The sequence below is a fragment of the Homo sapiens genome, chromosome 7, assembly GCF_000001405.40.
Source record: "Homo sapiens chromosome 7, GRCh38.p14 Primary Assembly".
In the NCBI taxonomy this organism is placed as follows: domain Eukaryota; kingdom Metazoa; phylum Chordata; class Mammalia; order Primates; family Hominidae; genus Homo; species Homo sapiens.
Genome location: NC_000007.14, coordinates 112,082,846 through 112,098,958, shown reverse-complemented (window position 1 = coordinate 112,098,958; position 16,113 = coordinate 112,082,846). Strand labels below are relative to the sequence as shown.

Sequence of the window (16,113 nt, the reverse complement as noted above, 5' to 3'; positions counted from 1 at the left end):
AAGTATTCAGAATTTAAACTTCTTTTCCTTTGCTTTTTAGGTGTTGTAAAATGTTTCTTAGATTATATAAAAATCAGTATATGTTCATTTGGGTCTAGTATTTAAATTATGCTCATGAGATATAATTTAGATAAAATATATAGATATATGCTCATGAGATATAATTTAGATATAAATTATGCTCATGAGCCTGTTAAATACTAGACCCAAATTAACATATACTGAATTTTACATAATCTATATAATTATGTAAAATTACACATAATTTTACATAATCTATATAATTACATAAAATTACACATAATTTTACATAATCTATATAATTACATAAGTATTTACATGTAATATTACTTAATTACTTAATTTACATAATCTTACATAATCTATAAAATTATCTATCTATATATTATATAAAATAGTACCTATTCACTGCTAAAGGAAATTATATATATATAATTTAACTATAAGATATATAATTTATAGGCTGGACGCTGTGGCTTGCACCTGTAATCCCAATACTTTGGGAGGCTGAGGTGGGGGGCTCATGAGGTCAGGAGTTTGAGACCAGCCTGACCAACATGGTGAAACCCCATCTCTACTAAAAATACAAAAGTTACTCGGGTGTGGTGGTGCACGCCTGTAATCCCAGCTACTCAGGAGGTAGAGGCAGGAGAATTGCTTGAACTCAGGAGGCGGAGGTTGCAGTGAACCAAGATCGCACCACTGCACTCCAGCCTGGGCAACAGAGTGAGACTCTGTCTAAAAAAAAGAAGATAAATAATTTATAAAAAATTGATATAATTTCTTTAGCAGTGAATAGTTTATTTTTAGAGAATTTGAGCAGAGGTATATGGATTATCCTTGCATTTTTAGTGCATATGACTTTTCATTTCAGTGTTTACTCACATTTCTGCTGTTGCTGATAATTGTGTAGCATGGAAACATTTGAGACGTGGAGTGAGAGAGAAGGAAGGCATTTCTTGAAAGACTGTACTATTTGTATATACCACTGTAAAGCTCTGGTTATATAACAGATTGTTGATGCTGAAACACACAGTGGAATCCCTTTAATTCTACCAATGAATTTAGCTTTCTAGGAAAAAACTCTGGTGTCCTAAACTCTGTTAGGATTGGGATTTACTTTGACATTCTGGCATTCAGCATTATCTCCTGCATCTCAGGGTAGTAATAGGAAATTCATTACTGAGCTATTTTCATAGGCCCAGGAATGACCAAGTTCTGTTCATACACACACCTGTGTGGTCATTACAAACAATACTGATCAGAATAACAAAAGTATGTGTGACTAAGCACGTTACTATAAAAATATTAGTCAAACATATGTTTATTCTACAGAAGGCCAGTATCAGAGGCCCATGGAACAACCTGAGTCTTTTTTTGTTTTTGGATCAGGATCTTGCTCTGTCACTCAGGCTGGAGTACAGCCTTGACCTCTCAGGCTCAAGCGACCCTCCTGCCTCTCAGCCTCTTGAGTAGCTGGTAGCACAGGTGCACACCATCACACCCAGCTAACTTAAAAAAAAAAACGTAGAGATGAGATCTCACTACATTGCTCAGTCTGGTTTCAAACTCCTGGGCTCAAGTGGTCTTCCCACCACGGCCTCCCAAGGTGCTGGGATTACAGGCATGAGCCATGACGCCCTGCCAACAGCCTGAATCTTTTTCATCCTTCTCCTAGAAAGTTTTAAACTTTCATATGTTCAGACCTTCCCTGGGATTTGGAACCAATCCTTTTCTTAGCCAAGGAAGTTTAAAAATCCTTAATTTGGTGGCTTGAGGCTGGGTACCAGTACTCCTCTATCACTTCCTCTCTTCTGGGTGGGTATTTGGGTTCCATTAACTTAGTTTCTTCTCTTTTCCTGTGAACTGATAGTTGGCTTTTTGCGGTAACCAGGTCCTGTGTTCCATTTTCAAGCTCTGCTTTAAGGTCCTCCATCTGATACGCATTCCATTTATTCTGTATTAAGGCTCTGCTTTCTAGAGACAGAAGTTCTGCCCCTGAGCCTTGCTGCTCGGCCCCTTTTATGCAGACAGCCTACTTCTCTGCTACCTTTCTGTTCTGTGTTCCCCAGTACTGTGTCCTGTAACCCACTGTCAGAATGTCCAGTTGCCCTTCTCCATACTGGCTTGGCTTGTGACATTCCTTATCGTCTCACTGGGACCTTTACTAACCAGCTACATTTTGGTCTTTGGGTCTGGGCAGCACCAAATCTCACTCATTCTAGAATGCCTCATTTACATTTAACACTGTCCTAGCTCCTGGGTAGAATTCAAAGGCGTTAGATTCTTCTTGTCTGATGAAATATTTATTGAGTACTAGCTGTGAATAAGGCAATACTTTGTGTTGTGACAAAGAAATAAGTGAAACTTGATCGTTACTTCCAGAACCACACACTTAAAAGACCAAAATAAAATTAGTACATGTTACATAATGGGTTAAAGAATGGCCTAAAAAGGCCTGGCACAGTGGCTCATGCCTGTAATCCCAGCACTTTGGGAGGCTAAGGTGGGAGAATTGCTTGAGCCTAGGAGTTGGAGACCAGCCTGTGCAACAAAGTGAAACCCCACATCTACCAAAAAGTAAAAAATAAAAAAATAAAAAAATTAGACGAGCATGGTGGCATGTGCATGTCATTCCAGATACACAGGTGGGAGTATCGTTTGAGCCCAGGAGGTCAAGGTTACAGTGAACCATGTTCCCACCACTGCATTTCAGCCTGAAGAACAGAATAAGACTTTGTCTAAAAAAAAAGAATGCCCTAAAAATATCACACACACACACAAATTTTATATAGTTGAAGAACTTTCTTCAAAAGACCCTATTTAATTATTTATTTATTTATTACGAGACAAAGTTTCTCGCTTTTGTTGCCCAGGCTGGAGTGCAATGGTGCAATCTCAGCACACCGCAGCCTCTGCTTCCCGGGTTCAAGTGATTCTCTGCCTCAGCCTCCTGAGTAGCTGGGATTACAGGCATGTGCCACCATGCCTGGCTAATTTTTAGTAGAGGCTATTTTCAGTAGAGACAGGGTTTCTCCTTGTTGGTCAGGCTAGTCTCAAACTCTGGACCTCAGGAGATCTGCCTGCCTCAGCCTCCCAAAATGCTGGGATTGCAGGTGTGAGCCACCACACCTGGCCTAAAAGACATTATACCCATTTATTTTTTATTTTTATTTTATTACAAAGCACACTTAAATTCATGAAAATTGCTTATTCAATTTTCTTAAGGGGATTTACTGAAATGCTTTCATTTCATGGTTGTGTTTTAAAATTTCTTGCTTTTATTTTGTCCTTCTCTACATCAATGAACTTTATACAAGTATATCAAGTTAGTATGCATGGATTAGAAAAGATACCATTTTTTGATAGAGTTATCACCACAACAATTATGAGAAAGAAGACTTCTGTGAAATGTTTGCTGAATTCTCTATTCATAGGAATCATAGTCAAATAACTTTAAGAAATGTCATGGGTCACTTAGTTACATATTCTTTCTCTTAATAGATTAAAATTTTGAGGTTTGACTCCTTTTTGTGTCCTGTTCACCATTTCTCTTGATTTAAAACTAAATCTAAACTAAATATTTCTTATAGCAATTAAAATCCCTTACCCTCCCCAACTTCTTCCCTCTTAAGGCTTTTATTTTCCTTTATGTAACTTCAAGTCTTTATGTGTTCCTCAGTGATTTAACATTGCCCTCTCAACTCAATTTCATTGTCTTTCTTTGACTCCTCCTTGCTCATAATCCATATAAAATAAAGAAGCCAAATGTCAGCCCTATACCATTGAAAGACTGATCAATGGTAAGTAAAGTAGAAGGAATTTTTCAGGATTGCAAATTATCCTTTTGCTGTACAAAAGTTCACAATAAAAGTCCTGTATTAGGCTGTTCTTACATTGCTATAAAGAAATACCTGAGACTGGGTAATTTATAAAGAAAGGAGGTTTAATCAGCTCATGATTCTGCAGGCAGTACAGGAAGCATGGTGCTGGCATCTGCTTCTGGGGAGGCCTCATGGAGCTTCCAATCATGGCAAAAGACGAATGGAGGAGCAAGCACATCGCATGGTGAAAGCAGGAGCAAGGGGTCAGGGAGGTACCATACATTTTTAAACGACCATATCTATCATGAGAACAGCACCAAGCCATGAGGGATCCATCCCCATGACCCATACAACTACCACCAGGCCCCACCTCCAACACTGGGGAGTTACAATTCAACTTGAGATTTGGGCCAGGACAAATATCCCAACTCTATTAACTCCCTAGTTTGGTCATTGCAATATACTGTTAAGCTATGGTCAATTTTCAGTTTCAAAACTTTCTTTGTTGTTGGTTTTGTAATTTTCAATCACATATAATTAAATTTTCTTATCCCTGAGTATGCATCATATTTTAATAGGCAGTTGTCATTTTTGAATTTCAAGTTTGCTACAACTAAGTTGGTGTAATTTGAAAAGTATTCTTTTCCAATTTGCAGTACTGATAGCCACTAGAGATTCCCTGGATGTAAACTCAAAATTTTTGGAAGATGTTTTGACCTAAAAACTATGTCGATTTGATATAACTATCATTTGGGAAGGAATGGGCTTGCTGAAATACAGCTCTATTTCTCATAGTCCACTTTTTTCTGTGTAGCTTATCACTGTGTCACAAAAGAAAATTCACTGTTGCTCATCCCTGAGCCCTGACCTGATACCATTGTAGTTTTTTTTTTCCTTGTGATGACTGTTAATTCAACCAATGACAGACCAGTGTTATTGAAGTAAGGAGTGTTTTATTTTAGTGGGATTAAATGAATGCTAAATTTGTTTTTCAGACAAAGATAGCATGATGTGCTTTGGAAAAAAACCTATTGATATATATTTTAATATAAATATTTGCCAATCAGCTGCCATTATTTTAGTGTATTTTTATGCTTACCCTGGGTAAGTCAAATGGTCTCATAATATCTAAGCTCAATATGCTTTTCTAAGATGAAGCCTAGATTTTCTGTGTTTAAATTTCAAAAATAACCATTTGAGACAGTTTTGGTGCTTTTTCTGTTTTTTTTTTTTTTCCTTATATGTCAGAGAGCCATTAATTTTTTATAAGGGCCTAAAGTTATGGTGGATCAATTTTTTATCTCAATATTTCTATAGAATTTTTAAAAGGCAAGCTTTATAAAGCTAACTTTATATTAGATGGGTGTAAGACGTTCTCTTCCTTAAAAACTAGAATCAAAATTGCTGGATTTTTTTGCAGTAGTTTTCGAGGTGATATATCACAGTAATAAGAGTTTCTTTACAGAAAGGTCGCTTTGCTTATGCAGCATTTCTCATTTAAAAGGAACAATACTTTTGCCGACTATGAGCTTTACTTTGGGAGTGTTTTAAAACAGGGAAAGCAGCCTTGCTTCTTAGAATTGTTGGTCCACATGAAGCCACCAGTGGGGTGTTCATGACTGGACTCCAGTGTGGTGATATATTAATATAATTGTTTCCCCCCCCCTTTAAATGTATGATGACTTTAAATGTCGTCACAATATTAGGTAGTGGATTATTTTCGTGAAGAGTATATTAATGATGATTTGTAGACTAGCTTAAATAATAATTTAAAACCGTTAATTGCCCAGAAAGAATTACTTAACAGTGTTAACAGGAACAGAGATTTATGGGGAATGGGAGGTGGGAATGTGGGCATTGAGAAGGAGCACATGTGCTAAGAGCCACTTCATGTTTATTTGTGATCAGGTGATCATGAAGCAATTCTGGGGTAACATTGTGCCTACTTGTATTCTTCCAAGCAACAGCGTGACTATCTGCCTATTTAAGGATGCAGCAGCATACCTTAACAATGTTTGGAGTCCTTTCTTTTCTGCATTCTGATATAATTATCTCCACATGCCCCCAAATCTTCCATAATGATGCCCATATGAGAGAGACAAAAAGGATAAATCTATTGATAAACTGAAGTTTGATTTCCCATGACACTTTCAGTTACTAGGCAGGTAAAGATTTCAGTATTCTGTTCCCACTTCTCCCAAACGCCCACTGAGAGAACAAAACCTTTCTGACATCCTGAGGTGTGGGAGGGTGTAATTTACTGGTGCCCAGAGCCTGCTGTCTGTGCTTTTCATTTCATCTTCTTAGGGAAGAAGGACAGTGCAGTTTCAAAACTGGAATAGTGATTATGGCCTTCTGATCTATTGCTGCCTGTCGGGCATGTTAAAAAAGAAAAGGAAGAGAAGTTTAATGCAAATCACAATCTCTTTGTGGCAGGGTCATCTTTGGCTGTTTCGCACTGTAATAGCCTTTGGAGAAACTGTTTTTCACTTGAGTTCTTTTAGATGTTGCTTTGAAGAGACTTGATGCTTCAGGCCCAGAGTTCTCATGTGAGGTCAAGCAGGAACCCAGATTCTTTCCGTTCAGGTAGAGAGCCTGTCGCGCCGTTAGGTCGTTAGCAAGAGTTTTCTAATACTTGAGATCAAAAGTGTGCACACGTCAGCTCTGTAGGGAGCTGTTTTGCAGACACATAATTGAGTTCTAACATCTTCATCTATTAGGAAGTATTGGTAAAAATATTTCACAGGATTGTTGAGGGGATTAAAAAATAAAATGTGAAAACCCCTAAAATGTGCTTAATGCGTGGTAGGAACTTGATAAGTGTTTATTTATTTAGTGGCAGATGAAAGACCAGTGTGGCAAACATACTGCGTGGTGGATAAACAAGAGGGAAGATGTGAATATTAACAGTGTGATAGTCAGACAAGGAATGGTTCATGATAGTCCCTTGTATCTTCATTTGCCAAACAAAGTTATTACACAGCCAGCCTGGGTGGGGGTGTGGGATATTGAGAACAGGGCTCAATATTGAGAAAGTGGTCCTGGGTTTGTTAACGCTGACACACAAAAGCCTCTGTGGTTGCTTACGAAGTGCTCACCTGCACATGTGTGGTTATCTGGTTAGATAGTGAGAGCATCACACCTGGTACAGGGAGCAGTGCAACTGACATGGTCAAATGGGGATAAAGAGAAGGCTGATTTGGTTGGCTTCTGATACTCAGAAACAAACACCAGGCTTATGAAATAGGCTGTATGGGTTTGACACTTTTCAGTTCTTGATGCCTTCAGAAAGTGCAGGAAGGATTATGGGTGTAAGTTGTGGATTCTCGTTCATTTCAAATCTCAGGAGGACACAGTATTAACTAGGGGCATCAGTGGGTACAGCCTTCCTCTCTAGGTGAGGAAAAATCTGAGAAATACCCTTGTGAGTTGCCTCTGCTCTTTTCAGGGCTGGTATCTTGAATTCTTTTCGGATTGGGCTCTGCGTCCGTTTCTGCATCCAGGTATAGTGCTGAGTCTGTGGGAAATTATAACCATTCATCAATGTGATATGGTCTCTATTGGAAATGTCCCAGCACCAGGAGTACCTATTCTAGCAGATAGCCTTGAATATTCTAAAAGCCTGTTTTCAGTTCAAGAGTAAAGGTGTATTGTACATCTTTCTAGAATTCAGAGAGACCTTAGGTGTGCAGGTAGGGCAACGCTGGCAGTCTCCCAGAGTGAAGACGGCCTAGGAATGCCCAGACATCTCTCCTCCTCTCTGCCTGACCTACCCCCAATCCAAGCTAATCTTTGCTGGGCCTAATGTTCAAATCTCATGTATACCCTTTAATTCTCATTTTACCTCTCTTTCTTCTTAAGGGGAGAAGCTGGGATATTTGCTGATAGTTGTATCTTAATTATGTCTGCGAATTAGTTGGTAGGAACACTGGAGTCAATACTAAGTCTGTGAAGCAATGTGAGTGGGGCCCTAGTACACAATCCCTGGTGGGTCTTTCCCTTATTTTATAACAAAGATGAGAGACCTTCCTTTACCTTGGAGGGCTCTATTTGAACAGTACCTCTTCAGTCTAATGTTTGTGCCACCACTGATGATTCGTAAACAGACCTTTGTGGGTGTGCCTGAGGGTTAAGGTGTTTGGTGAATGTGAGCCCGGTAGAGTCAGGGGGTCCCTGCCTAGGAATCTGGAGACAGAAAATCTGGTGCTCCCCCTGCCACTTCTAGCTCTTTGAGCCAAATAACGTTATTACCCTGAACTGCAATTGATTTACCCATAAAATGAAGAGTTAAATTAAAAGATCTCCAGTTCTGAAATTCTGTCTCAATGGTCACAGTTTGCCCATCCATTCAGTGCATGTTTATTGTGATTCTTTGCTCCAGGCACTATGTTTATAGCTTACCCAGAATATAGTTTATAGAATCAAAATATGTTGTTTGCTTCTTTCCATGAAAAATAATCTGTCTAATCTTTCAAAAATGAGCTTGTATATTTAACCTTTTCAAAACCTAACCAATTTGCCCTTACTGCAATGTAGTTTTCAACTTTAAAAAGATCATAGAGTCTCCTGTTTTTCCAGGTTATAAAATATGGTTACTTACATATGCAGATGACTAGATTATTTCAGAAATAGATAAGAATGGTTTGTCTAAACAGATATTTTTGCAATGTTAGAGGTGAATTGACTTTTTCTGTTTAGCTTTCATATAGTTTTTACTTGTGAAAATATGTTTATATCTCAAAATTATTACAGGATCTTAATCCATAACTCTATATTGTACAGAATGTCTAAATGCATAATTTCTTCCCCCCAATCTCAAAATATAATTAGAATCAATTTAGCTGACAGAGTTCAGATTTTGATATCTTATTTTATAATTTATTTATCTTTTTAGAACCTCTAATGATACCATATAATTTTCCTTTATAGCACATATCACCCATGATAATTATGCATTTATTTGTGTGATTGATTCATGCTATCTTTACCTTGAGACTAAAAGCTAAAATAGAAGTTCCAGGGGCTTATCCTTGAAAGACTAACTTAGAATCTCCAGAAAGAGGGTCTTAAGAATATTTTGTGATTCTTCAGTTGACACCATAAACCTTGATTTGGAAATCTCAGTTAGCAAAAACTGATGCCAGCTTTCAAGATTTGGATTAGTTCAATGAATGCATTTAACACTGTATTAGTCAATTCTCACACTGCTATAAAGAAACACCTGAAACTGGGTAATTTATTTAAAAAAAGAAGTTTAATTGGCCCATGATTCTGCAGGCTGTACAGGAAGTGTGGCTGGGGAGTCCTCAGGAAACTTTCATCATGGCGGAAGGGGAAGCAGGCACGACTTACATTGCTGGAGCAGGAGGAAGAGCGAGAAGGGGGAGGTGCTACATGCCTTTAAACAACCAGATCTCATGAGAACTCACTCACTATCATCAGAACAATAAGGAGGAAATCCATCCCCATGATCCAGTCATCTCCCACTAGGAGATTACAGTTCAACATGAGATATGGGCAGGGACACAAATCCAAACCATATCAAACACCAAACCGTAATTTAGTATTTGATTCATATGTCCTTTGGAAGGACTTCTGGATATAAGTTAAAGTCATTGGTTTTAAGTTGTATATCCTTGAAAGGTCATTAAGTGAAAAACTGTAACTAAGATATTTATAAAAATTGAATAATGGATGGGTGATTTGTTGGTGATGGGTTTGATTATTTCTTCTGGTGGAGAATGGGAGGTCAGTGTCAACAGGGCAAAGTACAATAAGTGGGTAAAGTTTTTTGTATTGATTATATATAGCAAAGGTGTTCTTAAATTAAAACCTAATTTGAAGCCCTAGAAAGGAGGAAAGGTAATGGATCTCTAGTTTCAGGCATCAACCTTCTGGAGCATCCCTGGCCAATAAAAATGAAATGCAAGTCACACATATAATTTTAAATTTTATAACAGCCACAGTAAAAAGAACTTTAACAAGTAAAAAAAGGGAAAAATAGGCAAAATTAATTTTGACATTATATTTAACACAGTATATCTAAAATATTGTCATTTCATAACAATTATTAATTAGGTATTTTATATTCTTTTTTGGACCCAAGTCTTCGAAATCCAGTGTGTCTTTTACGTTGACAACATATAAAAACAAGCATTGACAACGTATTGAGCACTTACTGCCTGCCAGCTGTTACTGTAAGCTCTTTAAATGCATTACTTAATTAATCCTTTCAGTCACACTATGAGGTGGTAGATACTAGTGTTATCCCCATTTTATAGATGAGGAAACTGAGGGACAAAGGGGTTAAGGAACCTTCCTAAGGGCACAGAGCAACTAAGTGGCAGAGCTAGGATACATTCTCAGCAGTGCAACTCTAGAATGTTTGATGTTCACCATAAGGCTCTCCTGCCCCAGTTAACACAATCCTGCCCGATAGGAAACTAAATGAGTGGAAACTTGCCAAGGGGACTCAAAGCTAATAAGTGACTTAGCACATGTTTAAGCTCTGTGCTCTTTCCCATAGTACTAATAGAAAAAAAACAAGAGGTCATACTGGCTGCTTTAATCATGATTTTATCACTACTGAATATGAAGACTTGGATATGTACAGAAATTTTCACTTAGGAGTTTGGGTGTTTCTATGTGTATGTATATATGTGTGCAAATAAGTATTGTCTTACATGTTTTCCAAAAGAGGATAAGAAAATCCATTAATTATATAGGAGATACATTTTTTTATCTATAAACATCTAACCTTTCAAAGAATTAAAAGGGGATATTTCAGTTGCCAAAAGAACACATTTAAAAAGGCTTTGTAATTCTGTTTATTATCTGGTGGTTTATCTAGCCATGGACTGAGTGTTTAAACTTGAAGAAGAATGACCATGTATTAAAACTTCACTCTAAAACTGATCCTCCAGCCAACAGTGTGACCTGCCTGAAGATGTGATTTTATGCTTCTATGCTTTTGCCTGAAAACTCACCTAGTTGTGCTCCCTGTCTGCATGCGAGGTCTCATACGGGACCTTGTCCCACGATCCCACTGGTTTCCTGCTTGTCTACTGCCTTTCCAGCCTATTTATTTAAAAATCTACTCCCCTTCACCACTGTTGGGTATGTACCTCTTGCTAGGGACACCACTGTATTTTTGACTATTTCTATCATATTTTTTAACACCTTGTGTTGGAGTAGTAATTACAAATCTCCCACCTGCATGCCACTCCATGGATCTGTTAGAGATGTCTAAACAGGGCTGTATTTCATTCACGATGTGTCTCCTTTGTCCCATAATTGACAAATGGTCCCAATACAATGTTAATATGATGGTCTAGGTCTCAGGAGTTAGATACCCATTTCTGAGTGGGACTGGAGAGAAAGGCTTAGGGAAAAGTGAGACTCTATTTAGGAGATAACCCAAAATGAAGCTGTCTGACAGTTTTGTCTCAGGGTACATAGTATTTTAGATAACGATATCTTTTTTTCTTTTCTTCAAGGAAAAAATTCAAAGCTTAAATCTCTCATTTTTTTCCTAGACATTTTATTATTTGTTTTTGACACTTTATACTTTAAGGGTACATTCCAGAGCTGCAGGATATTTTGCTTTGTCATTATTGAATCTGAAGACTATCATGTTTATATAGGCGTCTTCAGTGAATTTGGGCAGTTTTATGAGGATGTCTATTTGTGTGCAAATAAGCATTTCCATACGTGTCTTTCAAAACAGAACAAATCTAAATCTAAAGATAATTTTCAAGTTTGGCCAGGGAATCCTTATGTTATATTGATTCCATAAAAACAGGGGTATGTATTACCTAGCAGCTGAAGAAGAGATGGCCTACATTAGGCACCTGAGTGTCAGAAGGGGTTGTCAAGAAAGTGTACAGTTAATACATAAGTCTGTCCTGATTGAATTAATTAATCAAGAACTACAGGTGTTGAAAAGAGAAATGGGTACCTGGAGAAGGACATCATCTATATTGGCATCTTGGAATGTTAAAAAAGGAAATAGCTCACCACAGCCCTAGCCTGGTGAGCTGCCCTGTCTGCACCACAAAATATAGAACTCTGAGACTCCTGAGGGTTATCTCAGTTTTTCTGTCTTTTCTTCCTTCTTACCCAGGGTTCAGCATGCAAGGTTATTCATTAAAATCCTGTCTTTTTCTGATTTGTTTTTTCAGGGGTGGTGGGGGTGCTGGTAGTGACAGAATTTTCCAATTCTCCTAGGTGCCTTTGCTTTTCTATCCTGGTGCTACTGACTGTGTAAACTGTGACAAAATTCCCTTCCAATCCTTGGTTACTGTTTAATTCCCCTACATGTGCTTCAGAGTCAACATTTAGTGTGCTTGGGCAGGATGGCCTTGGCTCAGCGTAAAACTCTGTCAGAATCGGTTAGATGTGACTTCAGAGTTGGGTTTTATTGACATTTTACATGCCCGAGTTGATTTTGGAAATTGCCTCTGTTACCACATCCTTACTTCTGATCCTAATGGGAAACCAACATTTGCTAGATTTTTGGCAACCACTGTTTTAACAGGAGGAACCTGTGTCTCATACACTGCTGTATTGCCACAGCTTTGAGTTTTGACAGTAAGGAGAAGGTAGGTACTTAATAAGTATTTATTGAGTTAATGAATTTTGGTGCTCTCGGTTCTGATTTTAAAACGTTTTCTGTTTCATTGACTCTCCTGTTAAGAAAACAAAACCTTTCCCAAACTTAGCTATTTAATATAGAAACTATAATTCTAAAGAATAAAGAGAAGAAAGAGAGAACAGACAGACACAGACGTTAACTGGTGCACGACTTATGGTCCCTATATTTAAATGGGCATGAACTGTGGTGAGCTAGTTTTTCTGGATTTCCCTTTCTGCCTTATTTATTGTGGAAATTTGTACACAAAGGTGTACAAAGATAACGTACTATATATTCATGTATTTTTTGAACTTCAAAAATTATCCACATTTTGCCAATCTTATCCATGTCTGATCTTTCTTTTTCCTGTAGTACATTTAAGCAAATCCTAAATATGGTGTTATATTACCTCAAAATACTCCAGTATACATTTCCGAGGATTTTTTTAACCAAATTGTCATGACATGTAACATAAGGAGTAATCATTTCAAGAATTAATATCCTATACAGCCAGCCCATATTACAATGTTTCAAGGATGTACTTGTTAGCTCCAGAGACTTGATTAGACTCTGGTCTGTTTATTTGCTTTTTTTGGCAAAAATGTCTCATAGCTGGGGCTGTGTCTTTTTTTCTGCAAGAGAGACTTGTTGTCTGCCTGTGCCTCTTCCAGGGACACTGCTGAAGATACCTAGATCAGCAAGTTCAAATGCTGTCAGCCCGATCCCATTTGAAAGTTCTCTATCAAGCTTTCCCTGATGGATTTAGCATCCATTGATGATCACTGTCAAGATCCATTATTTATCTTAGGAATTAGGAAAATCTTAGTTTTCTCATTGTGATTCTGTCATTTCTTGTACATTTATTGGGTGAATTCTTCCATAAAGAACTTCTACCCATCTGCTACTTGATTACCTTGAAATACACTTTTTACAGGAAAGGTAAGATAAATGCTTGATACTTTCTCCTTATTTATAACTTTTTGGAATCATAAATTTGTACCCTGGCAACCGGCAGTAATGAATCATTGAAATTTTCTCATTAGTATCATTATGAACTCATGAGTTTTTATATATTAGATGTCTTTCAATCTAGTGCATTTTTTTCCTCTTAAATTGCCCTATCTTAGGTCACTTTGACCTCTGTTTCTTTTTGACACAGCCAAATCAGTTTTTGATGGGCTATGGATTTAAAATCTCTAATCTTGTTTACTGGTTTATGAAAGATAATTTGAAATTGCTCTCTTGAGCATCCTGACCCTTTGATTCAAGCAAATATTGTGGGACTGAGGGGAAGCTATGAAGTTCTTTGCCAAATGTTACCATGTTAAATCTCTTCATTTTGAGGAGAAAAGATTAGAAGATGGCTTTGTGATATGATCTGTGTGGCAGTTTCTGATGTTGAAGTGAATATACTAGAACAATTTTCTCATAGAATGGGATATAGTAAGAGCACTGTTCTGAAGTCAGACAGCCCTCGCTCCAAATTCCTGCTTGACCACTTCCAAGCCATACAACTTGGCCAAGTAACTTATGTTCTGTATGTTTTAGTTTTTTCATTTTCTAAAGTACACATACATGGTAATAATACCTTCCTTTTGGAATAGTTGTGTGGTTAACTTGAAGTGATAATGGTGAAAACACCCAGCAGAAAGCCGGTCACACGGGAAGTGCCTTGTAATGGTAGCATAACAATGGTAACAAGTCATGTCACTGTGATTTGGCATTAAATCTGGATATCTGTTACTTCACTCTGTACAAACATGAAGGGAGATTTTCTAAGAAAACAAGGATTTTCTTTCGTTTTCATTATGCATGTCTTGAAATTTCCTGCATTGCTCTATTTGTGGGAACTGAAACATTTTCTCAGCCCAAGCATCATGTGACTGTTTCTTATTGCTAGTCAGCAGCATGAAACCTCAGATGAAAGTATATTAACTGAGGGTCTGGTAGAACTGTTCAGCAAAGCTAAGCAGACTTTATTTAAAGAAAATGCTCATTCCCTTTTGCTGGACACACAACTTCTAAGATCCATGTATCATGCTGCTAAGTAGTGGCTTTGGGATGCTCTCTGTATAAATGAAATTTTCTAGTCAGCTGAAATTCAAACACTAAACATTCAAATATTTTAGTAGCTGCTGATATAAATTGTACTGAAATGTAATGGTTTTAAGCGGAAGCAATTTAAACATCTTTTCACTTTTTCTTTATGATTGCATCAGTCAGCTGTTGCTCCATAAAAATCAATTCCACAACTCAGTGGCTTAAACTAATTTTCATTCATTCTCACTCTCTGTGATAGAGATTGGCTGGGCATGTTCTGGGCCAGGCCTGACGGCATGACTCTACTTCATGCTGCAGGCCTGTCTGGGTTTAGGTCCTCACTGTGGATTAAGCTTAGGTCTGTTCCAGAAATGTTTATTTTGAGGGCCCAGTCTGAAGGAAGCAAACCAGCGAAGCTATTCCTATGGTCGTGGTAGGAGTACAAGAGTGTTAGCCCAACTGTGCAAGCGCACTTCAGCTGTCAACTGGAATCACATCTGATTCCATTCCGTTGGTCAAAGTAAGTCAATCACTAAGCCTAACAGCAGAGCAGGGAAGTATACTTATTCCATGAGGTGGTTAGGGAAAAGTGATTATTTGCCAAATACCAATCTAATTTACCGTACTAAACTAAGCCTTTGGTATGATCCTCTAACAAGGTTCCATACTATATGTAGTTATTATTCATATCTTTAATATCCCTGCCATCAGTTCTGACTTTTCATCTTGTTCATTCTGTGCCACGGAAAACCATGTCTTTTAAAAATTGTGTTCAGGTAAAGATAAATTCTACATGAAGATTTTAAGGCCTTCTGGGGAGTGAAGCTTTGTTTTCATAGCTATTTTGGATGTTTGGTGGCCTTTTATTTTATTTTATTTTATTTACCTTAATCATTTTGTTCCAAAAAGAATTAGAGATGTTGCCAGAAATTTGACTTCTGGGTATGAGGGGTTAAGCTCAACATGTAAAGATAAAAACTTCTAGGAAACAGAGGTTAATTCATTATGTTATAGTAACTGGGTCATACGTTATACTATTAATTCTATATTTTATATTCTAATCTTATATCTATAACCAACTCACAGAACAACTAGGGGAAAATTACCTAATCTCTAGGTACTTTTATGTAAAACCAATGGAGATGATAGATGTGAGAGCCTGAGGCAATTGTGATGGTATTCACATATCAAATAAAATTATTTTCAACTATGTTAAGATCATATTAATAAAAAATTCTACTGATTCCTAATTCATAATTAATCTGCCTAAACTACATTGAAATTTACTTTACCTTAGTGCAATTTATGGATAAAGGGATTATTTATAAAATTTATGTTGTGAACCCTCTGAAAAGAAGTACATTATTAAAATTAGAATATTTATTTGGGGCTACAATTAATGCTAATTATAATTAGTGCTAATTTCAAGTGTGCTTAATCTATTCAAAAAGTAGACCCAGTGGACTTTAAATTGACCATCTCCATAATACATTAAAAGTAATAAAGTGGTTTTTATTTAAATACATTCTAGAATAAATGATACTTTAATTTAAAATTTATTTCTAGCTAAGTCATATGGGTAGGATTTTACCAAGT

At 37.2% G+C, this 16,113-nt stretch overlaps 1 protein-coding gene across 12 annotated transcripts in view, besides 1 other annotated feature; it reads left to right on the top strand.

Annotated features, from left to right (window-relative positions):
• The window catches only part of DOCK4 (dedicator of cytokinesis 4), a 480,290-nt gene that overhangs the window by 107,441 nt on the left and 356,736 nt on the right, over nucleotides 1-16,113 (top strand). The window lies entirely within an intron of this gene.
• Nucleotides 14,371-14,470: an enhancer, noted in NCBI's record as "active region_26509". NCBI's record gives its function as "activates an Ori minimal core promoter by ATAC-STARR-seq in GM12878 lymphoblastoid cells {active_cell/tissue: GM12878}" and the evidence as "EXISTENCE:reporter gene assay evidence [ECO:0000049][PMID:35858748]".